This window comes from Homo sapiens, chromosome 1 (genome assembly GCF_000001405.40).
Source record: "Homo sapiens chromosome 1, GRCh38.p14 Primary Assembly".
NCBI classification, from domain to species: Eukaryota; Metazoa; Chordata; class Mammalia; order Primates; family Hominidae; genus Homo; species Homo sapiens.
The window spans coordinates 168,225,671-168,253,286 of record NC_000001.11 but is presented as its reverse complement, the minus strand read 5'-3'; the positions used below and the strand labels follow the sequence as shown (position 1 = coordinate 168,253,286).

Here is a 27,616-nt window from a genome sequence, read left to right as displayed (position 1 = left end):
TTTCCAAAATAAACACTTAAGGAAATGTCTTACTTTTTAAAAACCTTCCAAACTGTCCCTAGACCCATGTGAAACCCTAAGTCATTTAAAAGAGAGGACTACATGTCAGGTTAGGTCCCCCAAAACATCTTTAAGTGCCTATAATGTGTGCTACACACTGAGAATTCAAATTAAAGATACGGTTTTTTCTTACAGTTCTACAGTCTTCCTTTGGCTTAAAGACTCCTGGAAATACAGACATGAGTAAGAGACAACACTAGATTTATTAAAGATCATAATGCTATCATTTATTGAAGAAAGAAAGCAAAAAAAACTAACAATTGTGATGGGGGAGGAGAGACAGCTTGGCAACATTCCTTTTAAAGTTAAGTTAGCATAAAGAAAACAATATTTAGTAAATGAAATAGATTTTCAAGGTAGGAAAAGTAGTACTCAAGAATGTATTTTTGGATACAAAAATTCAGTTACACAATCAGTAGCATTCAAAATTAGTTATGAGTATTTATACAATTACAAAAATGGATTCATGTTTTAACAACGTATTTTAAAAGCTCAAACATTTTAAAACAGGCACAATATTCTAAAGGCATATGCATTCACCATGGGCTTTTGAATGTCCTCACTCCCAACTTCACAATCAAAATCTACAGAAGCGGCAAAAGATCAGAGTTCAGAGGGCTATTTTTTTTTTCCCTTTCCTTACTTAAGGTTGCAAACACATTGACAGAGGCAAAATAAACACGTTTCATAGCAGAAAGACCAAAAAATTGAATGTAAACCATAGCTCTCCCTTGGGAGATTACACAAATACAAGGTTCATCTGTACTTAGAACAAGGCTCATAACTTCTTGTAGCATGGACATTCAACAGGCACAGAGCAACAACATTCACCCAAATACCAGCTGCAATTTGTCCTTTAAGGATGCCTCACAAGGATATTATGTCCAGGTAGCTAGTCCATTTATATCGGGGACCAGTTGTCCTTTTGTTGTTTGTGGCTGTTTATTAAATGTAGTGGCACAACTTTGTTGTGAATATGTACCATCATTTGCTACAATCTAGACAGATCATCCTGTCTACAAAAAATCATTTTCTACATTTCTAAGACCATTATCAGTTTATCTGCTCCTGCTAGAAAAGGACATACTTTTTGTCAATTTACATTAACAAAGGCTCTGCTACTCCCCATTTACTCGCTGCAATGAAAACTGGTAAGCCAAGGGTAAAGCTTAAGTATCAGGGACTATGAATTTAGGGTAGAAGTGAAAATAACCAAAGTGGAACTAAATCCCCTATTCTTGAGTGCAACTGAGATCAAGTAAACTTCGCTGGACTTTCTTCTTAACTATAAAACTATTAACCAGAAGGTAAAGTCACACAATTTTACCTCCCAACAAACTTTTAAAATAAAAATTTCCAAAAAATTTAGATGTCTAGGTTTTGTTATATCTTACCAAGAGTTACACAGACATAAATTTGTATTTAACTTCAGTTAAACATCTATTCACTTTTTAAAAATGCTGTCTGCAAATAAACTACTGGACATCTTAAGCTTACTAAAAAAAACTTAAGATTTTTAAATTAAAAAAAAAAAACTAGGACAAAAATCTAGCAAATGGTTTCACGTACCTTTAAACACTGATTCTTAAAAATTTATATGCTGAAAATGAGGTTTGAGAATACGTATTTTAAACCATTTATAATCCTACCGTCGACTCTAGTCAGAAGTTATCTGAGCAAAGAGAAAATAAAGCCTGGCGTAGACAGTCCCATAGAAAATAGAATCCATAGCCACTGGGCTGCCCTTCAATTTCCCAATTCATTCCACTAAGTCTCATGATGCAAATCTGTCACTTTCATAGAGCTATCAAAAACAGAAGCCAAGCCAGATCCTCCACACTTTAAGATATGGTTCCTTATTATCTATTTTAACAGAAGTATCAAAAAGTGATTTTTTTTTTTATTTATTTTTGAGACAGAGTCTCACTCTGTTGCTCAGGCTGGAGTGCAGGGGTGCGATCTCGGCTCACTGAACTTCCACCTCCTGGGTTCAAGCAATTCTTGTGCCTCAGCCTCCCTCCCAAGTAGCTGGGATTATAGGCGCACACCAGCTAGCCTGGCTGATTTTTTTGCTGTTGTATTTTTTGTAGAGATGGGGTTTTGCCATGTTGGCCAGGCTGGTCTTGAACTCCTGACCTCAAGCGATCCACCCACCTCAGCCTCCCAAAGTGCTCAGATTACAGGTGTGAGCCACTGCACCCAGCCAAAAGGTAATTTTATTTGGAATGCATTTCATGATTTTATTTCTTGCTCCCTGAGCCTGCAGTGATTAGGGTGGAAGGGAAGTGGCACTCAGGCAGATAATTCACAAAGTCACCACACAAGGGTGATAGATGATCCACCACTGAGATAATCAACCCAGTGAAAATGCTACACTGGGGACCATGTTTTGCCCTTCCCAGACAAGACATCTTGAGCTAGGATCTGAGCTACGGCTATGCAGAGGAGCAGAACTGAAGGCTCCGTTTGAGCCCTTTCTGCAAAAGGGGATGCATTTCAGATAATGAGACAAGAGACGGGAGTGAGTTAGTACACAGCACGCCCAATACCCAACAAGCAGCCTCAGAGAGACTGGGAGAAGGGGGAGAGGGGACTGGAAGCCATCTCTTCTGTTCTGAAGGGCAGTGCTCCTCCCAAGACAGCACTCAGAGAGCCAACAGCCCAGGGCAGATCACGCCAGGACAGTGCTTCCATATGGCTGGCTGAGCACCATATTCCAATCTGCAAAAGAGTCACCTTATTGGTTCCCTTAACTTCCAAAATGCAGCAAGCCCTCCTTCACCCAGCAGTGAACGGAAGGGAAGGGAATGCAGGGCAGCAGGGAGACAGAGACCATCATTAACTACAGGTCTGAAACCCTAATTCTTTACTCACTCATCAGGTTGCTTTTAATCACTGCTGTTGCTTGGTAACAGGTTTCAGCAGATTTGAAATGGATTTCTTCCTCCCACAGTCTAACAAAAACAAGTAGGGAAACAACCAAAGAATAAGGCAACTTAAGGAAAAACGCAGGAAGACCCTGGGAGGCAGGGTCATGCAAAAGCTGCCAATGGTGTCCTGATGGGAGCTGTCTGAGCAAACTGGCCACAGGCCGTGAGTGAAAGCAAAGCAGAAGCCTTTCTACAAGACCCATCTCCTGCCAAGAACCCCTCCCTGACGCCTCCACTCGTGGGGTCTGGGATAGGCTCTTTACCTTCTCAGAGGATGGAGGCAATACCATTCACTGGGCAGTCACTGTGAATATTGAATGAGATAAAACATGGCAGTGTCTACAGCGCCGGGCACATAGTACTAGATAAGTATTTGTTAAATAAATTAATGATCGGAGACATTCACTCTCATCTTCCAAAGTTGTCAGTTATTTCTGGGATTAAATAACACCTACCCTACTGAGACTCTACTTATGCCAAGCCCTATTCTAAGCACTTGACACGTCTCACTGACATCTTGCAATGACCCAGCAGGAACTGTTATTCCCACAATTTTTAAACAGATGAACAAACTGAGGAGCCAGAGGTTAGGTAACCTGTTCAAAATGACACAACTAGTATATGACTAGTCACAGCTCACAGCCAGATGCATCTGACTTCAAAGCCTACATTCACTACTAGTATGCTATACAGGTGACATCTTAAAAGGTACCTTGGCCTCATGTCCCACAAAGTCAATCCAGGCATTAAAAAGGACATGGGGCTGGGCATGGTGGCTCACGCCTGTAATCCCAGCACTTTGGGAGGCCGAGGCAGGAGGATCACTTGAGGTCAGGAGTTCGAGACCAGCCTGGCCAACATGGTGAAACCCTGTTTCTACTAAAAATACAAAAATTAGCCGGGTGTGGTGGCACATGCCTGTAGTCCCAGTTTCTTGGGAGGCTGAGGCACAAGAATCACTTGAACCCAGAAGGCAGAGGTTGCAGTGAGCTGAGATCATGCCACCGCACTCTAGCCTGGGAAACTGAGCAAAACTCCATTTCAAAATTAAAGCAGTGTGTAGAGGGAAATTTATAGCACTAAATGCCCACAAGAGAAAGCAGGAAAGATCTAAAATCAACACCCTAACATCACAATTAAAAGACCTAGAGAAGCAAGAGCAAACAAATTCAAAAGCTAGCAGAAGACAAGAAATAACTAAGATTAGAGCAGGACTGAAGGAGATAGAGACCACGAAAAAAACAATGAATCCAGGAGCTGGTTTTTTGAAAAGATCAACAAAATAGATAGACTGCTAGCCAGACTAATAAAGAAGAAAAGAGAGAAGAATCAAATAAATGCAATAAAAAATGATACAGGGGATATCACCACCGATACCACAGAAATACAAACTACCATTAGAGAATACTATAAACAACTCTACGCAAATAAAGTAGAAAATCTAGAAGAAATGGATAAATTCCTGGACATATACACCCTCCCAAGACTAAACCAGGAAGAAGTCGAGTTCCTGAATAGACCAATAACAAGTTCTGAAATTGAGGCAGTAATTAATAGCCTACCAACCATAAAAAGTCCAGGACCAGATGGATTCACAGCCGAATTCTACCAGAGGTACAAAAGGGAGCTGGTACCATTCCTTCTGAAACTATTCCAAACAATAGAAAAAGAGGGAATCCTCCCTAACTCAATAGATGCAGAAAAGGCATTCAACAAAATTCAACAGCCCTTCATGCTAAAAACTCTCAATAAACCAGGTATTGATGGAACGCATCTCAAAATAAGAAGAGCTATTTATGACAAACCCACAGCCAATATCATACTGAATGGGCAAAAACTAGAGGCATTCCCTTGGAAAACCAGCACAAGACAAGGATGCCCTCTCTCACCATTCCTACTCAACATAGTACTGGAAGTTCTGGCCAGGGCAATCAGGCAAGAGAAAGAAATAAAGGGTATTCAATTAGGAAAAGAGGAAGTCTTAAACGTAAGACCCAAAACCATAAAAACCCTAGAAGAAAACCTAGGCAATACCATTCAGGACATAGGCATAGGCAAAGACTTCACGACTAAAACACCAAAAGCAATGGCAACAAAAGCCAAAATAGACAAAATGAGATCTAATTAAACCAAAGAGCTTCTGCACAGCAAAAGAAACTATCATCAGAGTGAACAGGCAACCTACAGAATGGGAGAAAATTTTTGCAATCTATCCATCTGACAAAGGGCTAAGATCCAGAATCTACATAGAACTTAAACAAATTTATAAGAGCAAAACAACCCCATCGAAAAGTGGGCGAAGGATAGACACTTCTCAAAAGAAGATATTTATGCAGCCAACAAACATATGAAAAAATGCTCATCATCACTGGTCATTAGGGAAATGCAAATCAAAACCACCATCAGATGCCATCTCATGCCAGTTAGAATGGCAATCATTAAAAAGTGGCATGGTGGCCACAGATGCTGGAAAGGACAGGGAGAAATAGGAATACTTTTACACTGTTGGTGGGAGTGTAAATTAGTTCAACCATTGTGAAAGACAGTGTGGCGATTCCTCAAGGATCTAGAACTAGAAATACCATTTAACCCAGCAATCTCATTACTGGGTATATACCCAAAGGGTTATAAATCATTCTACTATAAAGACACATGCACATGTATGTTTACTGCAGCATTGTTCACAACAGCAAAGACTTGGAACCAACCCAAATGTCCATCAATTATAGACTGGATAAAGAAAATGTGGCATATATACACCCATGGAATAGTATTCAGCCATAAAAAAAGGATGAGTTCATGTCCTTTGTAGGGACATGGATGAAGCTGGAAACCATCATTCTCAGCAAACTAACACAAGAACAGAAAACCAAACACCACATGTTCTCACTCATAAGTGGGAGTTGAACAATGAGAACACATGGAAAAGGGAGGGGAACATCACATACCGGGGCCTGTCCGGGGGTGGGGGCTAGGGGAGGGATAACATTACATGTATACCTATGTAACAAACCCGCATGTTCTGCACATGTACCCCAGAACTTAAAGTATAATTTAAAAAAAGAAGTATTTCCAGAATCTCATATAAAAAAAGAAAATTAAAAATGCAGTTTATTTATGTAAAAGATCAGTGGAACTTAAAGATAATCACTGAGTGACTTACAGTAAAAATTAAAAAATGAAAAAGACTAGTGTACTACAAAAGAGACTATCTGAAAAAAAAGAAATATCACAGAATATCAAAAACTTGAATGGGAACAAGAACTCTGCAGTTTGAGATTTCTGATAGTCATGAAAAAGAAGAAGACCTGTTGCATAAAAACCATTTGATGCAAGATGAAATTGCCAGGCTCAGGCTGGAAATACACACAATAAAAAATCAAATCCTGGAAAAGAAATACTTAAAAGACATTGAAATTATAAAAAGAAAGCATGAAGACCTTCAAAAGGCTCTAAAACAGAATGGGGAAAAATCAACAAAAACGATAGCCCATTATAGTGGACAGCTTACTGCTCTGACAGATGAGAACACAATGCTCCGTTCTAAACTGGAGAAGGAAAAACAAAGCAGGCAAAGACTGACGAAATGGAATCATACCATCGTAGACTGAATGTTGCTCTACATGATCATGATCAAAGTCACTCAACAGAAAGAGACCAAGAGCTTGATTTCCAGGGCACAGTAGATAAATTGCGTCATTTACAGGAAAATTTGAATTCTCATGTTCTGATTCTTTCTCAGCAACTTTCTAAAGCTGAGAGTAAGTCCAGGTGCCTCAAAACTGAGCTCCATAACACAAGAGAGGCTCTGAAAGAAAACGCTTTGGTTTTTGAACACATACAAAGAGAGCTAAACCAAACGGTGTCAAATGAAGGACATTGAAAAAATGTACACAAGTGGCCAAGATAAAGTAGAAAAATGCACAGAAAAGCAAGTAAGATTATGTCAACTACGAAGACAAAATATGTTGCTTCAACAGCAACTGGATGATGTTCACAACAAAGCTGACAATCAAGAAAAAACAGTAATTGATAGTCAAGCCAAATGTGATGCTACAGCACAAAATCTTCAAGCTGAGTGCATAAAGCACCGTCTTTTGCTAGAAGAACAAGAGGATGATCAATAAAGTTAATCATTTGAAAGAAAAACAATGTCAATATGAAAGAGAGAAAGCAGAAAGAGAAGTAGTTGTGAGACAACTTCAACAAAAACAGGGTGACGTCCTAAACAATCAACAACAAAAGCTTTGCTGGATGCTTCATTGCGTCACTGCGTCCATTGAGAAAGTGAGATGTAGGATTCAAGGAAGAAATTAGGTCAGATGAGAATTCAATTTCAAGAAAAATGGAATCAACTTACAGCGACTATAAAATGTACTAAGGAGACGCAAGGCCACGTACAAAAACTTGAAATAGAAAATTCTAGTGTTAAGAAATACAATTAAAAAGCAAGATGGCCAAATTGAGCAGCTTCAGAAAATCCTGCGAAGTTCAAGTTTGATGCAGCAGTTATTGCAAGAAAATGAAACTACAGAAATAGATGAAGCTTCTTCTGAATTTAAATCTGGATCCTCTGTAGCAGAGGTTCCCAACCTACAGGCCATGGACAGGTCCATGACCTGTTAGGAACCAGCTGCACAGCAGGAGAGTTACTGTGGATCTTCTAGATCATCTGCATGCCATGTGAATCTTAAAACCAGTTTTTAATTTCTACAAAAAAAAAAAAAAAAAAGCCTGCTTGGCTTTGGATGGGGACTGCATTATATCTATAGATTAATATGGGAAAGAATTAACATCAACAATGTTGAGTCTCTCAACCTATCAACAAGATATTTACTTAGGTCTTAATTTTTCTTAGCAATGCTTTTTAGTTATCAGTGTACAGATAATCCACATAGTTTGTCGGGTTTATTCCCAAGAATTTTATATTTTAATGCTATTGTAAATGGTATTATTTTTAAATTTTCAATTCCTAATTCTTTACTTCTAACATGGAGAAACACAATTGATTTGTGTATATCAATTATATATCCTGCTGTGTTGCGAAACTCACTTGCTGGTTTCAGTAACTTAGTAATGGATTTGATTTGGTTTTCTACATAGATGATAATATCTGTGAATAGACAGTTTTACTCATTTCTTTTCAATCTAAAGGCCTTTCATTTTTCTCCTTCCCTCCCTCTTTCCCCCTACTCCCAATTAAAACATGATTGCAGTGGCTAGAATTTTCAGTACAACGTTGAATAGAAGTGGTAAGAGTTGACATCTCTGTCTTATTCTCAATCTTAGGGGAAAACATTCAGCCTTTCATCATTACATAGGATGTTAGCAGTAGATATTTTAAAGATGCCCTTCGACAGGTTGAGGAAATTCTCTTGTATCCCTAGTTTGCTGAGATTATTTTTTAAACAAAGCATGGTTGTTCAATCTAAAAAAAAAAAAAGGACATGGACATGGAGGGATGAGCCTTCTAGGTGTCTTATTCCAGGCTGCTGGAGCTGCTGGAGCTCACAGTGACTAGCCAAGCCTCGTATCAGTTCTAAAGAAAAGGAACCATGAGCCCTCCTGACCTCCTCCATGTCCCTTCTGACACCACAGCCCTTCTGAGATCTGTCTCCAAGAGGCACCTGGGATGTGAAAGAATCCCACAAAAGCCAGAGGGGTAGCATAAAATTTCCTTTCCTGGCTGAGGACAGGTTAGTGACCTGAGCAGATGACTGGATGTCATCAATAGCCTAGAAAGAACCTGGGAAGACTAGCTCCTCTCTCTGGCCCCGTCAGGCTTGTTCACACCTCCCCAGCCTCAGAAGAAAAGATCAGCAGGGCACAGTGGCTCACACCTGTAATCCCAGCACTTTGGGAGGTCAAGGTGGGCGGATTACCTGAGGTCAGGAGTTCCAGACCAGCTTGGCCAACATGGTGAAACCCTGTCTCCACTAAAAACACAAAAATTAGCACGGGCGTGGTGGCGGGCACCTGTAATCCCAGCTACTTGGAAGGCTGAGGCAGGAGAATTGCTTGAACCCGGGAGGTGGAGGTTGCAGTGAGCAGAGATCACGCCACTGCACTCCAGCCTGGGCGACGGAGTGAGACTCCATCTCAAAAAGAAAAAAAAAAAAAAACCAGTCAGAGTTCTTAGCCACAGTAGGACAAAGAAAGGTTCAGCAATTAGCCACAAGAAAGGGGACAACCAGCAGGCCACTTCCTTTGGTTTAGCAGTGACAGAGGAGGAGCCCTAGTGGACCAGTTGGCCCTGTGCAAAGAACAGAAAGGCAATCCAGATAAACGTCATTTGTAGGATGACTCTGGAGGTCCTGGAGGGCCAGGAATGCTGGCTGACAAGACAGGGCACTAATCGTAGTCAGGCAACAAGGAGGAGCTGAAAGGGAACACAAGGGACAGTGAACATCCTGCAGATCCAGGAAGAAGCTTCCAAAAGAGATGGGCAGGGAGGGCCAGGGAGGAGATGGCTTGGCTGATGAAAACGAGGGAAACAGTCACAGGCAGTTACAGGAGGCACAACCAGAAACAGGCCAGGAAACTCTGGGGTCATGAAGGAGGCTGAAGCTGTGGCTTTGGGTGGATCCAAAAACCAGTGTGGGCCTTGATTCCCTTGACTGCACAGTGGTATAACAATCCCTGCTTCCTCACAAGGCTCTCCATAAGAACCAGGTAAGATCGTGGACACAAAAGCACTTTGTAGGTTAGGCATCAGGCTGACATGAGACCACCTGCAGTTTATCCCCAGTGTCCCCAGCACAGGCTAAGTGCAAACACTGGGACTATTTAAAGGTCACTGGGCAGGCGTGCCTACTTCCTGCTGGCTGCACAGCAGGGATCTGTCTTCCCACCCCACTCTCCCCTGGCCCAACTCCAGGGGAGAATGGAAAATAAAATCAGTTTAAAAGCAAACATTTATAAATAATGGAGAAAAAAATATAGCTGAGAGCAGCAGGATTTTTCAACTCCTATGGGCTCTCGTCCAAAAAAAAAACAGCAGCATTTTCTGCTGCTGCTCTGTTCTTTCCCCATCTAGTGCCAGGAGGTCATAAAGAAAGATATGCAGGGAGAGGGAGGGAGGGATGGGAAATAAAACCCAAGAGAAAAAGAGTCTGCACCTAATGTCAGAAAATACATTCCACAGTCAGGCGCAGAATCAGAACACCAAGAATGCTTAGATTCAAATTCAGAAACAGCATATACCACCAAAAAGTGCTTCTTTTCTACCTCACTCCATGGCCAGGCTCTCCAGGGGCTTGTCTAAAGCAGAGTCACTTGTTCTCAGATGCCAGAGTAGAAGCAGACTCACTCTATGCAGGACCACGGTGATGGCTTCCATGCTGAGGGACAAGTGGACCCCAAAACTCTGTCCCTTACTGTTGCTCCCGTGATCTCTGATGGGGCTGCCTTTTGCCACCTGGGAATCACTTGCACCCAAGGCTTATGTGCTGTTGCTGAATAGGTTTGTATTCATGGGAATTCAGTGGGACAACATCCAGAGAGGAAACAGGTACATGAGGAAGATTCCACTCCACAAGATACAGAACCCACTTCTCATCCTGTGCTACTGACATTCAGGTTCGAGAATGTATTGTTGCTTCCAAAAGTAACCCTCAAATGTTCGAATCACAAGCAACACATTGCTGCAAGATAAAAGGCACATGTCTGTAAGACAGAGGTTTCGAAGATAGTTACAAAACTGTCCACCAGCTTCTGTCCATAGTGCCTTCCAAAGCTTCATAAAACTGGCCATGAATTATGCAAGACACACGGCAAAACACTTCTTCACAGCATCCCTAGGAAAGAAAAGACACAAAGATGAGTGGAACGTCATCACCCCAAAGGCACTCCTTTAGAGGGCACCCAGAGTGGAAGCTGCAGAGTAGAAAGCACCTAGACTGAAAGATCAGACCTTCACAGCATCAAACTGCAGCTTCAACATTTATTAGTAGTACTATCCTGGGAAAGTTCCTTGTCCTGTTTGAGTTTCAAATTCCTCATCTGTAAGAGGGGATGTCCCCACTTACCCGACAGTCTGATTATGGGATTAGCCATCATAATCAGAGAAAAAGATAACATAGACTGTCAGAAACTAAGAAATCAGTCAGGATTGCTGCACTTTAATATCGGTCAAAATCACAGAATGCACTGACAGCATTAAATCAAATATTAACTGGGACCTTTCTTCATTCTAAGCAGGCAGCAGAAGGGAGCTCACTATGGGTCCTGAGCACTTATTAATATGCTATAATGGCCTTATCACAGGTATTTACTGCTTGGAATTCAGTGTAGAGGGTGCAAGGAAGAGTTGGTCTTCAAGAAATTACTATTCTACCCAAGCAAGCACTTCCATTTCCACCACCACACCACACTGTGCAATGTGGCACTAGGCTTCTCATACCCCAGCTCTGTTCCACGTTCTCAACTGTGCTGCACTAAGGACATTGGGAGTCACATAAGGGAGGGAGAGGTGAATGGATGCATTTCCATGAGTAGGCACTGCATTTTAATATCAAGATGGTTCCAGGGCAGCATTTCTTGAGATATACTCTGCACTGTAGTCTCAGAAGAGTCTCTGCACAAGAAGGGTTTTATGGCCACATAAGTCCCCCTCATGGCAGCTCACAATACACATAGCATATGGAAGGATCTAGCAAGCCAGGCAAAGAGGAACCTACCTAATTTTGCTTAACCTGTTTCTCAAACTTACTTGATCATAGAACTCTTTTCTTCCACAGAAACACTATTTCTGTGGAACACTGTGGGAAAAGCTATTCCAGGGGAACTTACAAATAGAAGGGTGGGGCCAGGCATGGTGGTTCGGACCTGTAAACCCAGCACTTTGGGAGGCCGAGGTGGGCCAATCACTTGAGGTCAGGAGTTCGAGACCAGCCTGGCCAACACGGTGAAACCCCATCTCTACTAAAAATACAAAAAATGAGCCTGGCATGGTGGCGTGCACATGGAGGCTGAGGCAGGAGAACAGCTTGAAGCCAGGAGGTTGGAGACTGAGGTGAGCTGACATCGGGCCACTGCACTCCAGCCTGGGCCATAGAGTGAGACTCCATCTCAAAAAAAAAAAAAAAAAAAAGAATAGAAGGGTGGGATCTAGCTCTGTGATTCCCTCCCTACTAGAGGAGTAATTCGTCTCCTCAGCACATGAAACTCACTATCTCAAATAAAATTCCCTCATTCTATCAATCACTTGTACATAAATTTTATACATGCCAATCCAGATCAAGACTGAAGCTCTGACAAATGACTCCAAGCAAGTTTCACGAATGAGACCTGTGCAACTGCATTGGCCCCATACTCAGAAGGGTCCACATTGGGTTTAATGCCTTGATTTGATGTTGCCATCTTGAAATTCTTAATCTTTTTTTTTGAGACAGAGTCTCCCTCTGTTGCCCAGGCTGGAGGGCAATGGCGTGATCTCGGCTCAGTGCAACCTCCGCCTCCCAGGTTCAAGCGATTCTACTGCCTCAGCCTCCTGAGTAGCTGGGATTACAGGTGCACGCCACCACGCTCGGTTAATTTTGGTATTTTTAGTAAAGACAGGAGTTCACCACGTTGGTCAAGCTGGTCTTGAACTCCTGACCTCGTGATCCGCACACCTCAGCCTCCCAATGTGCTGGGATTATAGGCTGAGCTACCGTGCCCGGCCTATGATTTTTGAACAAGAAGCTCACATTTTTATTTTGCACTGGGCCCTGAAAACTATGCAGCTGGTTCAGGGACCAAAAAATATTCATATGTTGGCAGGTTGATCAATATCTCATTGGATCCTCAGTAATGATGAACTCCGGTTTACTTCACATAAAAATCTAGCTTCCCAGGACATCCCTGCCCATATTCTTCTCAGACAAGCCACCAGGCCCCAAAACCAGCCAGGTCTGCATGGAGTATTTCATAACTGTTACCCTCCTAGAATCTATCAACAAAGCCACTCAGCTGCCTTTCACTTGAAAGGCTTAACTTCGCATCCAATCAATCACTCCTCAATACTTTCAAATCACTGTCAGCAACAGTCTTGGAATTTGTTAAGACATAAGATTGCTCTTCCTCCTTCCCAAGTCATGCATAATTTTTCATTTCCTCAGTACTTTTTTTTTTTTTTTTTTTGAGACAGAGTCTCGCTCTGTCGCCCAGGCTGGAGTGCAGTGGCGCCATCTCGACTCACTGCAAGCTCCGCCTCCTGGGTTCACGCCATTCTCCTGCCTCAGCCTCCCAAGTAGCTTCGACTACAGGCGCCTGCCACCACGCCCAGCTAATATTTTGTATTTTCAGTAGAGACGGGGTTTCACTGTGTTAGCCAGGATGGTCTCGATCTCCTGACAGCAGGATCCACCCGCCTCGGCCTCCCAAAGTGCTGGGATTACAGGCGTGAGCCACTGCACCTGGCCCAGTACAGTTTTTTTAAAAAGCTTGTTTTTAATTAACAGGTAATGATAAAAAAAAAAAAAAAAGAACAGAAGTTAAATAGTTGCATTAGAACAAAGTCAGAGGCAAAGATCATGCGGCTAATTTTGAGAGGTCCGTCACTGAAAGTGCTTAAAGAGGTATGGAGTATTAGAATTTCAGAGCTAAAAGAGGCCTCTGGAGATGATCTAGACCAACTCAGTCTACTTATCGATGCTTTGAGGCCAGAGGGGTCAAGAGAGCTGCTCGAGGTCACACTGCTAATTAGGAAGCCCTGGTACTGCTTACTCTCCCTTTATAAACTCTTGTGAAACCTTCCCAGCAGTGGGATACTGCAAGAAGCACGAATTGAGATCCCTCCATATCTTACTCAGTGATATGAAATGACATTCACCTTTATAAAAAAAAAAAAAAAAAAAACCCTACTCAAAGCTACGGGTTAAAAGAGTAATAATGTGCATATATGCACCATATATAAGAGTAGAATGTTCACAGCATTGGAAATCAGTGTACCTGGGTAAATATCCATCATTAGTTGTATAATTAGAGTGGGTGGTGGGGTGACCTTTAACTTACTTATCTATAAATGAGATGTATAGTATTTGTCTACTTGACTCAAAAGACTTCAGTAAAGATAAATAAAATAGGCTATACTCTCTGAAAGCAGACTCTGAATTAAAATGACAGAAATCATTATTTCCAAATACACAGTCTTACCTTGCAAATGGTATGAAGGAAAGGCTGTACCTATAATGAAAAACAAAACAAAGGGTCAAATGAGATGAAGGGAGTAGCAGATTATCCAGCAGAATGGGCTTCTGAGCTGTAAGAATACCTGCAGTGATCTATCCAGACCCTCTCCCATACTCAGCCTGGGGGATGAGCATGTGCACACAAAGGCCCACGCATGTGCATGCACGTGTACCCAAACACACACACTATGGCCATGTACAGATAGGCAGCCACAGAAGAAGGGCAAAAGGTTCATGTGGAGATAACCCGTATGACCTCGGCCTCAATGCAGTACTGCTATAACCTTGAACTAGCAACAATCACCTTAAACAGTCAGATTTCAAATACCCAGATGGCACAGAAACTCTATTCTGAAAAAATATCAAATAAAACCCAGAACAGTTGAACCGCACCCCCCTCCTTTATTTATTTATTTATTTTTTTTTTTGAGACAGGGTCGTGCTCGTCACCTAGGCTGCTGGAATATAGTGGCTCAATCATAGCTCACTGCAGCCTTGAATTTCTAGGCTCAAGTCTAGGAAGCTCAAGCAATCCCCCTGCCTCAGCCTCCAGAATTGCTGGGACTACAAGTATGTGCCACCATGCCCGGCTAATTTTTTAATGTTTTTTTTTGTTTGTTTGTTTGTTTTTTTGCAGAGACCCGGTCTTGCTACACTGTCCAGGCTAGTCTCAAACTCCTGGCTTCAAGCAATCCTCCCACCTCAGCCTCCCAAAGTCTTGGCATTACAGTGTGAGCCACCCATACCTGGCACAGTTGAACTCCTAACATTTTATAAATTCTAAACAGAATTTAACTTCTACCTAATTGGGATAAATTTTCTGCTCTGCTCCTATTAATTTTAAAAGAAGAGAAAAGAGAATAAAAAAGAAGAAGAAAAAAATGCTACCAACTACTCTATGAGTGAAAATGTAGTACGTCCAAAGGTATCTTGGTAAATTCCAGTTAGCTCAGCCCTGTCACTTAGAAGGAAACCATATACAAGGAACAGGCTCCATAATGCTAAAGAACCAGGCACTGTGTGTCAGGCAGACTGTAAGTTAGCCCTTAGAAAAGCAAACACAGTCAGAACACATGAGTGTTGAAGGGAATATCACCATTCAGCTGGACCCATATGAATGCTGAACCTCTGAAACTGGATTCAAAATCAGTCTATAAGCAAAGCAAGGTGTGTGTATATAGGTACCAATTTCTGCCCTGGAAGAAAAATCAAAATATAAACAGTCTACCACTCAAATGTGCATGTCATTTAAAAAAAAAAAAAACATACACACACACACACACATAAACACAAACACCAGCATCCTTCTCCATATCTTATACTTAACATGTACAGAAGCTCAATTACTTGTCAACACAGTAAATTCCAAAAGGCAATTTGTAACTATATTTATTCAAAAGTCCAAAATTGCTAAAGGGAGGGATGGGAGTTAAGCTTACAGTCTCAAGATTCATTTCTACCAAATAGGAGTTAACCAATTCTTCAGAACTTTAAAATGTCCACAATCCTCCTTTCTTTACACTGTAGCAAACATTTTTTTCAAAAATAGGTGAGTCACATCTATACTGAAACTGTTCTGGCAGATACCATCCCTTGATAAACTTTGAAAGAACTACAGAAATGTCTTGGAACCTACAGATTCCAACTATGCCACCACCCCTCTCACTCTGAGGTCGTATAGGCTTGAAAGGACCATGAACCTACAGCCCCACTCATGGTTTCCCAAAATGTCTCCAGCGGCCCTTTTACTATACTTGGCTCTGGAGTTACAATTTCCTACTCTTCAGCTGAATTACCAAAAGCCAACAAGCCTCTGAGCACATACGCTGATCCTACAGCCCACAGACACACGTTTTTCCATTTCGTCAGTGACTGTTCCTCATCTCCTGCTGACAGTTCACTCTTTGTCCTTCTGTTAAATGATTCATTCTATCACAAATGTAACATTCATTATTTTTCTTACCACTTTCCTTTTTTGTTAACCTCTATTGGACTCACAAGCCTTTTTAACATCCCTTATAATACTTTTGTTGTCCTTGCACTTACCGGACATGAGTGGCTTAATAATATTTGTAACATCTCAAAAATCAACCATTAGTTCAGCAAAAATGCCACAGCAGGCAAACAAGGAGCCTCCTGTGACCACTCAAGACCACTAATGCCATCTATTGGCAGTGGGCTGGGTTGATAGGCATTTGCTCTGGAGCCTGACTTCACTTTCATCATTACGAATCCTTAAATTAAACAGCTTCTGTGTTTTCTTAATTCTCCCACCCACAATATGTGAGTTTTATCTCCTTTGGCTACATTATTCAGTGGGCTATGTGGGAGGGGATTGTTTAAAAGGTTACTTACCACGTCAATGCCAAAGACTGCAAAATGCAGAAGATAAGTGCAAGTCCCTTGTTATGCCACTGGAAAAATAATAATATGGTTATAGGAGAGTGTGAGACAAGGGGCAAAAGCCAAAATGGTTAAGAAAAATTAAAATATACATTTACCCAAAAGGCAGAACACAGGGTAAGTGCAAAACACAACTAAAGGAAGAAAGGAAACATTAATTAATGACAATAACATGGCAGGAAAAAAAAAACTCAAAACTTGTTATTCTTCACAAATGCACAAAACTTATGCATCCTTCATCTCAAAGCAGTTAACCCACCTGAGCACCCATATTTGGCAGAATAGTTAAAAATCTCCATGAAATCAAACTAGCCAATAAAGATTCACATAGATAAGATGTTCTTTTACTTTCAAGTTTTCCCAGAACCTCTGCCCAGCAAACAAATCACATTTCAGGCCCACCCATTCATCCGTCCATCCATCTTTTCATTCAAATGCACTAAAGTAAGCTTAACACAAATCTTTCTATTTTAACTCCTACCAAATGCTAGTCTCTGCAGCAGAAAGCACATGTGAGGACAAAGGTTAACCTGAGATATCAATCTCACAGTCAGCATGCCAGTTACTTGTGTACCTATCACCTAACACTTTCCCTAAGGCCATTCTTAGAAAGCTCTTTCTGCAAGAGACTTGTCCAGGCCGTGGGCATCTGAGGCTGGCCAAGGACAACTGGTGCTAGAGCAGTCAGCCATGCCTTTCTTCGCCATCCTTCTATAACAATAACTACTCAAATATGTCCTAAATATTCTCTGTGTCCAGCATTGTGCCCAATACTCTAAAAGGACACAAAATAAACAGGAAATGTGGTCACAGCTTTTGATAACTCACCTATTTGAACAAATGAGATTATATAAATGAAACTAAAAATAAAAGTATGTTCTTCAAGTTCCAAATGTTGCAATAGCTATAAAAGTCCAGAGAATGTAGGTCTGGAATGATTTTGACAACCACAGGGAAGAAAATAGGCCAAAAATGAGAGGCATTTAGGGTCAATGGAACAGGAAGATACAACAAAGCTAAAGACAATGTTGTCAGAGCAGGGTACAAGGATGACAGGCCATAAGGAGGCCACTCCCACTTTGGGGAGACTGATGAAAAACAGTAATAAGTCCCCAAGTCAGATAATGAGGAATAAAGAGGCCATTCTATAAGACAGGACACCCACCCTAGAGAATGAGTCCTGTGTTTCTGAGTTATTCCCTCTAAGCCCTGCCTGTGTGTGGCTTCCACAGTCACCAGGAAGGTGTCTGAGCTCCCTTACTACCACCACACCACTGTGGCTCATCTGACAAGCAATGCCCTCTAGAGGTGCTTTTCAGAACTGGTAGCACCTTGACACCCACTGAAACACAAAGTAGGGGAGGAGGGGATCGTAGTATTACTTAGAGTGTTCCCTTCTGCCACATGGTTATAGGAATAGGGTAATAAGTCAAGCTGAACGGAAAAAGAGAAGAGGTCTTTAGATTTAAAAAGAAAAACATCCTATACAATAGAAATAAAAACTCCCATCTGAGAAGTCCAGCTAAAAAGCAGACCTTACCAGCACCATGATAGTTGCAATCAAACGAGTAGGCTCAAACATTCGCTTCAGCTGTTTCACTGGTCCCATGAGGAAGATGGTACTAAAAGGCAAACACACGCACACAAGCCGTTCAGAACAGAACTGCACTAGGCACACTGAGTCGCCTCCCCAAGATTTCCTGTGGCAATAGTAGCTAACATTTGAAAAGCTCTCATTCTGACTGTGCTGAAGGGCCTTTCGTGCATTTTTCTCATTTAATCCATCAACAACCAACCTATAAAGTAGGAACAATTACCACACCAAAGCCCACAGAGTTACTTTATCCAAGGCCACCCAACTAGGGAATGATAGACCCAGGCTGTAAATGCATGTGGGTGTTACTGTAGAATCATATCATACCACTAGGTTGGATAAGCCTTCTCCTTGAGAGGTGTTACCTTGCCTCCCTGACAATAACTACTCATGGAAACAAACAAGGCTCAGGAAGTTTAAAGAAAAACCATACCTTACAGGCTTAGGTAGCTTATGTTAAAAAGTAGAGCATTTCATTTTCTTTCATAATCTTCAGGGAATAATTCTAATGATGATGATATCATCATGGGTTATTTGTTGAATGTTTGCTAAATGCCAGATATTACATATATTACCTCATTTCTTCTCCTCAACAACTTTGTGAGTTATGTATTACACTTATTTTAGAGACGAGAAAATCACACAGCTACCATTTGACTCTATAGCTATTGGATTCCAAAGCTCTAAAAAGACAGACCCAGCATGCTGGGTTTTTTTTGTTTGTTTTTTTTTTTTTGACATGGAGTCTCACTCTGTCGCCAGGCTGGAGTGCAGTGATGCAATCTCGGCTCATTGCAACCTCCACCTCCTGGGTTCAAGTGATTCTCCTGCCTCAGCCTCCCAAGTAGCTGGGACTACAGGCACACGCCACCACACCCAGCTAATTTTTGTATTTTTAGTAGAGACAGTTTCACCATGTTGGCCAGGATGGTCTCGATCTCTTGACCTCGTGATCCGCCCAACTCGGCCTCCCAAAGTGCTGGAATTATAGGCGTGAGCCACTGCGCCTGGCCCCCAGCATGCTTTCTGTATGAATGAACTTGAGAGATGGCTAGCAAGAGTAATCACAAATGAAGCAGACTGTCATGTCTAACACATCAACTTGGCATGAGCCACCACACCCGGCCAATAAGTCTTCCTCTCTTTGAAGTGCCATTAAGTTGCAAGGCTTCACTCTCAAGTGTCCCAACTAAGAGAACACTTCTTTAACCTACACCGAATAAGAAGCAACAGTCAAGGCTGGTCCTAAAAATTAAACATAGCATATACACAAAACCATAACAGACTACAGGCAAAGACACAAACTCCCAAATACCCTGAAAATAACAATTTGCTCCCTTTATTATTTCCCTACACAGTCTATGAAGAATCCAGCCCATAGGGATTTGCTAAAGAGCTCTTCTAGACTAAGCAACACACCCATATATTTATGCTCAGTCTAGACTATACAATGTAACTTACACTGTCTGCCCAAAACACCCCCCCACCCAAAGTTAGTATTGGAGAAAGCTTTACAGGCAACAAGAGACATCTCTAAGGGTCAGCATTTTACTGTCATAAGCACTAATAAATTAAGCTTTACACAGGTAGCCAGAATCATGCAATCAATCATTTAATTAACATCCCCCATTTCCAGCCAGACACAGAGCTAAGTTTGGGTACAACTGGGGACAAGATACACGTGCAGCCCTTATCAAGTGGCTTACAGATCTAACAAGTCAGTGTAATAAAATGCTACCTGCACTGGCACATAAATATAGATGTGATACTGAGAGTCCAAAGGAAGAGGTCATCAATTCTGGAGAGGAGGAGGTAATCAGGAAAAGCTTCATAGAAGAGGTAGCTTTTGAGCCAGGTCTTAACAAATGAGCAAGTATCTACCAAACCAGGGGAGGTACAGATAGGGCAGCATTCCAGGCACAGAAAACAACCAAACAAGGGCACAACGGCATTTTGGGAAATGCAAGAAGTTCAGCCTGGCTGGGAAGCACACTGGATAGGGAATGGGACAACGGTGAAGCCAGATCTCAAAGACGCTTGACTGTATGCGTGCTGAGGAATTTGGACTTCATTTGTACAGACAAAACAGGGGGCCACTTGAGGGGGCTAAGCAGGGCTATAAACGAATGGCTCTACAGCTCAGTGGAAAATGGCCTTGAGAGGGGCAATGGAGGAGACAGAGAGACCAAGCAGATGCATCTTGCTCAGGTAAGGGTGATAACAGGCCAAAGCTAAGGCCAGCTCAGATATCACCTTCTCTAGGAAGCCCTCCCTGACTCAGGTCGTGTCGGCTGCCCCTCCTTGAGAATTTCTTTCCATATCTTGTTATATCATGAGTTATATGTCTGTCTGCCTGGCAGGGACCAAACTGGACTTGTCTTTGTATCCTCTGAGCCCAGCACAGAGTGTGATCAATGCTTACCCATTGAGCATGCAAGTCAGTCAGTGAAGCACAAACAGCCATGGGGACAAAGAGGAAGGAGCCAGTAAGACAGGGTTACATCAAGCCCTGGTGAGGAATCATGGAGGGGAGACTTGGACCCCCAGGACTCTGAAGCCATTTACAGAGACACAAGGGAAGGGAAAAGGGGGAAACAAGATGACTGAGCTCAGGTTCCTGCAGGTCATTCAGGTAGAGGCCAGGCCAGTGCTCCCAGTTGGAGAGGGTGGAGTTGTTGGCACCAGTGTGACTGAAGCATCAGTGTGAATGAGCTTGACCTGGAAAATGTGTGCATCCACAACATGCAGAATGGGCTGCCCACCTCCAGGAAGCGCTCAGATGCCCTGCCCACATGAGCTGCTACTCAGGTCTGGGAAGGTCTGACACTAAATAAAAACCAGTTTCCCTTATGGCCACTGGAGTGATGAGCCCTTTGAAAACCATCAACTCAATCTCTGACAGCAGTAAGAATACAGCAAGCAGGAGGACTGGGTTGTAAACCCTGGAGAAATCACTGAACTGCTTTGTGTCGCAGTTTCTGTACATGTAAAATCACGATGGCAAAACATTTGCTGCTTTCTCCCAGGTGTTTCAAACTAAGATATAAAATGTTTTCAAATAATAAGATATGAATGTGAGATATTCTAACTACTTCTCTCCAAATTCCTTACAACTACTGGAGCCTCCTCTTTCACCTCCCTCAAGGGCAACCAACATCCATTTTCCCATCTAATGATTGGCTAAAATTGGATTTTTAAAAAACAGTTACCTCCCAATTGATGCGATATTACCAAAGGTATAAAACACTGCGAAGAGGTGTAGTCCCTTCCTGGGCACCCACAGCAGAACAGTACCCTGGAATTTAAAGTACAGTGTTTGCACATGAGCAACCCTCCCACCCGGCCACACAAGCAGAGCTCCCAGAGGAAGCCCTGAGGAGTCCGTTTCCCTCCCCACCTCCCTTATTCCCCTCTCCTCTCATCCATGCATTTTAGTGAAGGGCAAAAGGGGAAAGGAGGTGGACAAAAGGGGGAATATATAGCAAAGACAGGTAGAAGGAAAAGACAGAGGAGGAAGGGAAATCTTACCAGCAGTGAGCAGAGAATTCCTATAGCAAAACACGCAATGAAGCCTTTTATCCTGGTACTCCAGCTTAATGAAGATGCCTCAACAACCTAAAATTGAAAAAAAAAAAATACATATACACACACATTTACTAAAAACAAAGCAAGCACATAACTAAATCTAGAAAGTGTTAAGTTGTATTAGGGAAGGCAAGGAGCACAGAATCCTACACACTCAGGCGATGTAAGTCATCAAATCCAGACTTTATCAGAGCTGTAAAGTTATTATGCAGACATGAATCTCCTCTCTAGCAGCTGACAGCTGTGCCTCCAGCTGAACATCTTCAGAGGTAGAAACTCCTTGCCTCAAGCACAACCCATTTCAAGAACAGGAAGGCAAGACAGCCAATCCTAGAGTAGCCCAGAGCCTTCCTACAACCCAGGCAGGATGAAGACCACACCTGGAAAGGCATGCGTCCACCAGGGACTCACAAGTCCACCTGGGATCCTCCACCAGGCAGGGTCCCAGGAAATAAGGAAAAGATGAGGGGACGGCACTCAAGCAGCTGCTCCACTGGTCATCGTCTCCTACATCAACTCTCACCCACATTATTCACTCTTGGTTCAGATATTGTACTTACAGGATGCTGGCATCAGCCAACTCATCCAAGTGGGAGACAGATCCTGGTTAATTAATTACTGTCCTGTTACATCCTGAGTCTTTGCCATCATGATTAATCCCTCCCTGGAGCAAAGTTCAGGGGAAGCCAGGAGTTCCAAAAACACTACTGAAACAGGAGAGCCTGTGAGTAGCTCCCAGTGGTTCTTTTCCCATGTCAAAAATGACAACAGCCAGGCACAGTGGCTCATGCCTGTAATCCCAGCACCTTGGGAGACCAAGGTGGGCGCATCACCTGAGGTCAGGAGTTCGAGACCAGCCTGACCAACATGGCGAAACCTTGTCTCTACTAAAAATACAAAAAATTAGCCAGGTGTGGTGGTGCATGCCTGTAATCCCTGCTACTTGGAAGGCTGAGGCAGGAGAATTGCTTGAACCTGGGAGGTGGAGGTTGCAGTGAGCCGAGATCATACATTGTACTCCAGCCTGGGCAACAAGAGTGTAACTCTGTCTCGGAAAAAAATGACATCAAAGTTTTTGCACTGGTGACCCTACCAGTCTGTCCACCTGATGCAAGTGGGAACAGTTGTTCCAAGCTGGACAAAGACAGCTGCCGTAAGAGACCAACACCACACAGGGCAGCTAGGCCATGTATATTCACACAGGGCTCACCTTGTATGGCCAGCATAGTCTCCATCTAGCAATGTGGTCAAAGTTTCCTACTATATTTCCACCCAGCTGATGGAAGAAGGTAGGTAGTGGCAGAAAGTCAAGAGTCATTAGACTGGCAACTCCGTCAGCCTTGACTACCCCCAGCTCAGGGATCTGTTTTCAACCCTGTCTCCAGAGTTCCCGTCAAACCAGAAGCTTGAAAAGAAGGATGAGAGGCTCCCCTCAGGTGTGGCACGTATTGCCAAAGACTACCTTACTCTCCACTCAGGAGAAAGGTATTTAGGTCAGGTTATACATTCATATATATGGAACTGGGCTCATGACCCTGCACAGAAGGCACAAATTAGGGATGATAACAGACAGCAGGGGCCCAGTGTTAAGATCTGACAGATGAGCCACCTGGTTTTACGCTGAGGTAAACCTCTCCTGGAGGAGTCTGGTTTCCCAAACCCCCTTGGACTCCAAAATGAGCCATGTGATGATGCTCTGGTAGCAGGCTTTACAAGGCCCCAGACAATCTAGTCAGGCTACTTCGGACTAAAGCATTTAAGCTCTCGCCAAGGACAGAATAAAATGAGAAGCTACCACTCTTCCTAGTCATGCAAAAACCAAAGAACTTACCTTGCCAAGGTGCGAAAAGAACTAGCTGCAGGTGGGAAGAAAAGAGCGGTAGTAGGATTGGCCTGGCTTGTTCGTAGGAAGAAGAGTGGTAGTGGGATTGGCATGGCTTGTCTGTAGGAAGAAGAACGGTAGTAGGATTGGCCTGGCTTGTTCACAGGAAGAAGCATGGTAGTAGGATTGGACTGGCTTGTCAGCAGCAAGAAAAAAGTGGTAGTAAGATTGGACTGGATGGTTCCCTGAGCACCACATGGCATCAACACGGATAATTTTAAAAGATTCAACCTTTCTATTTGAAGAGGATAAACCATAAGGTTAAGAATGAAATTTGAATTGGCTTTGACATCTAGATTGCTAAATAACCTCAACAGAACAGTGAGATTCCAGAGAATGGCCTGAACCCGGGAGGCGGAGCCTGCAGTGAGCCGAGATCGAGCCACTGCACTCCAGCCTGGGCGACAGAGCGAGACTCCGCTCAGTCTCAGTGAGATTCCAGCCCTCACACAAATCAAAATAACCACAATAGGAAGCAGTTCAGCCAAGAATGTGTTTCTGGTTTCTACCTTCAGAAAGGAAAGTGACACTCCATATCCAAGTCTCTCAAGCTGAATCCATCCAAATGTTACTCTGTTTGCCAAAATGGAAGGGGTGGGGGGCATATTTCACCACTGTATTTTTCCATTACATGTGGTTGCAAGTTCTTTTACATTCACACTTGGTCAGGGAAGGAGGAAGCTGTTGTTCCACTTCTCATAACTGGACTCAGTGAAAGCAAAACACTTCTTTTTGCCAAATTATGAAAACAAACTCATAAAATGTCTGTAAATTCATGACTGCTGGAAGCTGTGCTAGCATATTGTTTTTGGAAATTAGAGTAGCTAAAATGGTACCTGGATGGAATTTGTAGGCAATGCGCTCACAGGCAGTCTGACTGGCAGTTATTCACAAAGGTCCCTTTCACTCTGTGATGTGGAGAGAAGAGGGGCTCTTGCCAAGAATAATACTAAGAATTGTTCAGAAAAACAGGATTGGTAACCAGAAGAAGGTAAGAAAGAAATACTGCTTCATTTCCACACTTTAAAATTAGATACTATTCATACCTTTCTTGTCCCCAGAATCCTTTATAAAAAACATAAAACCTATACTTTCAGAAAGAAGTCCATTGAAACTAAAGACTTAAGGTGTATTTATGAAGATGAGGTATCAATCACAAAATTCAACGTGAGGCTATAATTAGATACTGCCATGCAAATTTTATAACTACCTAGGAGAGGTAGGAGAAATAGAACTAGTCACACCTTTATGGTTTGCATTAAAGGAATAAAGGTTTTAAAAAGCACTCTCTTCTAGTGACCTCTTAAAGAGATTTTAAGAGCGCCTAATTCAACTTACCACACAAAATAGCAATTTCCCCACAGAATCCTCCAGTTCTACCAGCCCCCAAACCATGAAAAATATGAGACAATCAAATCAGTACCAATATTTTAAAGGAGGCTCTGACCTAATCAGTAAACACTAAGCTGAAACAGCCTGCAAGATGAAGTTAGTCGGCAACAAAACATTTCCTAGGAATTCAAGACTCTGGAAGTGCCATACAATGATGTTATAAACAGAAATCTCACTCAGAAAGAGGAAACTGACCAACTGACCAAAGTATTTTAAAACAAGAACGAAGCACCTATTCTTTTTAAATTAGATCCAACAGATGCCTCAGCATAACACATTAAAGCCCTTCTCACAGTATCCAACACAGACGTTCACCATTTTAGGTTAAAAACAAGCTCAGCATTTATGTTTGCAAACTTTACTAGTCGTCCACTGTTGAGGGTCAGCCCACTGCTTCGTGATGATTTTCGAGACAATAATATCTGCATCATCCCACTGTCAACACTCCACCCCTCAAGAGTCTGCAGGGAGAGAAAGTGTCTGCCTCTTAAGCACCAATTGTTCATAAAGGCTTGTTGACAGTCTATGGAAATAAAGCTTTAAATAACGAGGGTCAGCTACCTATGAGTCAGACCTTTCTTAGGCCCGGTCTGAGGTTCCACTTGAGATTCATAATAGAGGCTAGAAATCAAGAAAAAAAAACCCGTGAAATTACTCTGAGCCTTGACCAATTAATAAAGGCAACAAATTAAAAAGAACCCACCAACTTGTTTTGAAATATCAAAAAGTTAAATTTCAGTGACTCCAACATTCGATCCCATAGAATTACTCCCTCAAGGTGAAGATTCAGAGAGCAATCTTACATTCGGAGATGTCATGCTAAGTCCCAGTATCACACAAAACAAAACCGAATAAAATCAGCAACCACAAACGTGGGTGAAAGCAGCTTGCTGAGAAAGAAGAACTTGCTGAGAAACCAGAAGAAACACTGATTAGTTTCCAGTTGGCCATATCATCTTAACATCCTCATTTCACAGATGGGGAACGGAGGCTAAAGAATACACCAAAAAGCGAAGAGAAACGTTATTTTGTCATCCAAAAAGGAAAACAAAAGCTAAAAGCACCCTAAATAGAAATGCAGCATTCTGTGTGGTTCTACAACATAGGACATTAGTGGCCAGGTTTCAGCACGATCAAAACTTTTCTAATAGGCCGGGCGCGGTGGCTCATGCCTGTAATCCCAGCACTTTGGGAGGCAGAGGTGGGCGGATCACTTGAGGTCAGGAGTTCGAGACCAGCCCGGCCAAGATGGTGAAACCTCGTCTCTAGTAAAAATACAAAAATTAGCCGGGTTTGATGGCGGGTGTCTGTAATCCCAGCTACTTGGGAGGCTGAGGTGGGAGAATCGCTTGAACCCAGGAGGCAGAGGCTGCAGTGAGCCAAGATCGCGCCACTGCACTCCAGCCTGGGCGACAGAGTGAGACTCTGTCTCAGAAAAAAAGAAAAAAAAGCTTTTCTAATAAAACAAACCAACACGCAGGCAGTCTCCTGAGGCGCTGGGTGTCTAGAGACTAGTTGTGGGCAGTGTGGACAGAGACACAAGATGTGGTCCCTGTCCTCATGGGATGGGGGCAGTTTCTCACCCCCAATCACAAGGCAATGTGTACAGGGGCGGGTGGGAGTGTCACACCCTACAACCTAAACCGGACAGAAAACCAAGGCAGAGCTCGGGGCGCGGCCACCAGCCCCGTCGCGAGGTAGGGACCGCCACCCCAACACCCCAGTCCGGGTCTGGGGCCCCGACCCACCCAGCAAAGGCTCCTTCCGCCTGGACCTCGGGGCCCCCAGCCCTACCCGGCCCTAAAGCGCATTCCCCGGCCGGTGGGGCCGGGGCCGACAGCCCAGTCGCCCACCCTCCCACTCGCAGCTCAGTCCGGGGATTTCCTCCTGCGCCGCCCCCTTGTCAGGGAGGATGGGCTGAAGGGGCGCGGGGCAGAAAAGGACGCCGCGGCCACTGCCCCGTGTAGTGCCAGACCTCTTCGCGGAGCCCTGCAGAAGAAGAGGAGGAGAAGGGGCAGAGCTACCGTCCAGAAACTCCAGGGAGTCCCCGCAGGCTTCCCAGGCCCGGGCAGGGGACGCAGGGCGGGAGCGCGGCGAGAGGGGGCCGACGGCCCCGGGCTCACTCACCTCGGACAGGCCGCTCCGGTCCTCCGTGTCCTGCCCGCTCAGCACCTTCTTCAGCTTGTCCATTGCGGCCCAGTCCCCACCAGCTCCAGCTCCTCAGCGGCAGCCTGTTGCGCTCGCTAAGTTGACGGCTCTTCCGGGTGCTAGGCAGCCGCCCAGCCGCCCAGGCGCCAACCGCGGCGCGCCCCGCCCAGGCACCTGCCCACCGGGGGGCTCCCGGCATGCCCCGCGCGCCCGCGCTCGCCTCCGCTTGTTTTGGTCCCGGGGGGCGCGGCGGGCCGGAGGGGCTGGGATTGAAGACCACCAGGCGCTGCCAAACACTAATTCGGCGTCCAGAGCAGTTTCAAACCGGAACGGGCCGCGCTCCCTCGCCCTACTTGATCCAGTCAACGAATGCCGAGCACCTACCACGTGCAAGGCTCCGGAGACACAAAGACGGGGGAGAAGCCTTGTGCAGACGGGAACAAAGGCTGTG

General features: G+C 43.5%; 1 protein-coding gene and 1 pseudogene across 2 annotated transcripts, besides 5 other annotated features; one reads left to right on the top strand and one right to left on the bottom strand.

Annotated features, from left to right (window-relative positions):
* Positions 1–265: 265 nt before the first annotated feature.
* On the bottom strand, positions 266–27,283 carry SFT2D2 (SFT2 domain containing 2). Its single transcript, NM_199344.3, has 8 exons — positions 27,145–27,283; positions 21,687–21,773; positions 21,368–21,453; positions 18,105–18,186; positions 16,663–16,698; positions 16,517–16,575; positions 14,127–14,156; positions 266–10,786 (listed from the first exon to the last, which is right to left on the bottom strand). The coding sequence occupies exons 1-8, from the start codon at positions 27,205–27,207 to the stop codon at positions 10,747–10,749; spliced, it is 483 nt and encodes a 160-aa protein (NP_955376.1). The 5' UTR covers positions 27,208–27,283; the 3' UTR covers positions 266–10,746.
* ANKRD36BP1 (ankyrin repeat domain 36B pseudogene 1) lies at positions 5,857–7,722 on the top strand (annotated as a pseudogene). Its single transcript, NR_026844.1, has one exon. The product of NR_026844.1 is annotated as an ankyrin repeat domain 36B pseudogene 1 (transcript).
* Positions 26,077–26,126: an enhancer, noted in NCBI's record as "active region_2059". NCBI's record gives its function as "activates an Ori minimal core promoter by ATAC-STARR-seq in GM12878 lymphoblastoid cells {active_cell/tissue: GM12878}" and the evidence as "EXISTENCE:reporter gene assay evidence [ECO:0000049][PMID:35858748]".
* Positions 26,247–26,326: an enhancer, noted in NCBI's record as "active region_2058". NCBI's record gives its function as "activates an Ori minimal core promoter by ATAC-STARR-seq in GM12878 lymphoblastoid cells {active_cell/tissue: GM12878}" and the evidence as "EXISTENCE:reporter gene assay evidence [ECO:0000049][PMID:35858748]".
* Positions 26,629–27,362: an enhancer, noted in NCBI's record as "H3K27ac hESC enhancer chr1:168195163-168195896 (GRCh37/hg19 assembly coordinates)". NCBI's record gives its function as "activates a minimal SCP1, AML or CMV promoter by ChIP-STARR-seq in primed H9 embryonic stem cells {active_cell/tissue: H9 hESC(primed)}" and the evidence as "EXISTENCE:reporter gene assay evidence [ECO:0000049][PMID:30033119]".
* Positions 26,629–27,616: a biological region, named in NCBI's record as "H3K27ac hESC enhancer GRCh37_chr1:168195163-168195896".
* Positions 26,987–27,616: a silencer, noted in NCBI's record as "silent region_1543". NCBI's record gives its function as "represses an Ori minimal core promoter by ATAC-STARR-seq in GM12878 lymphoblastoid cells {active_cell/tissue: GM12878}" and the evidence as "EXISTENCE:reporter gene assay evidence [ECO:0000049][PMID:35858748]".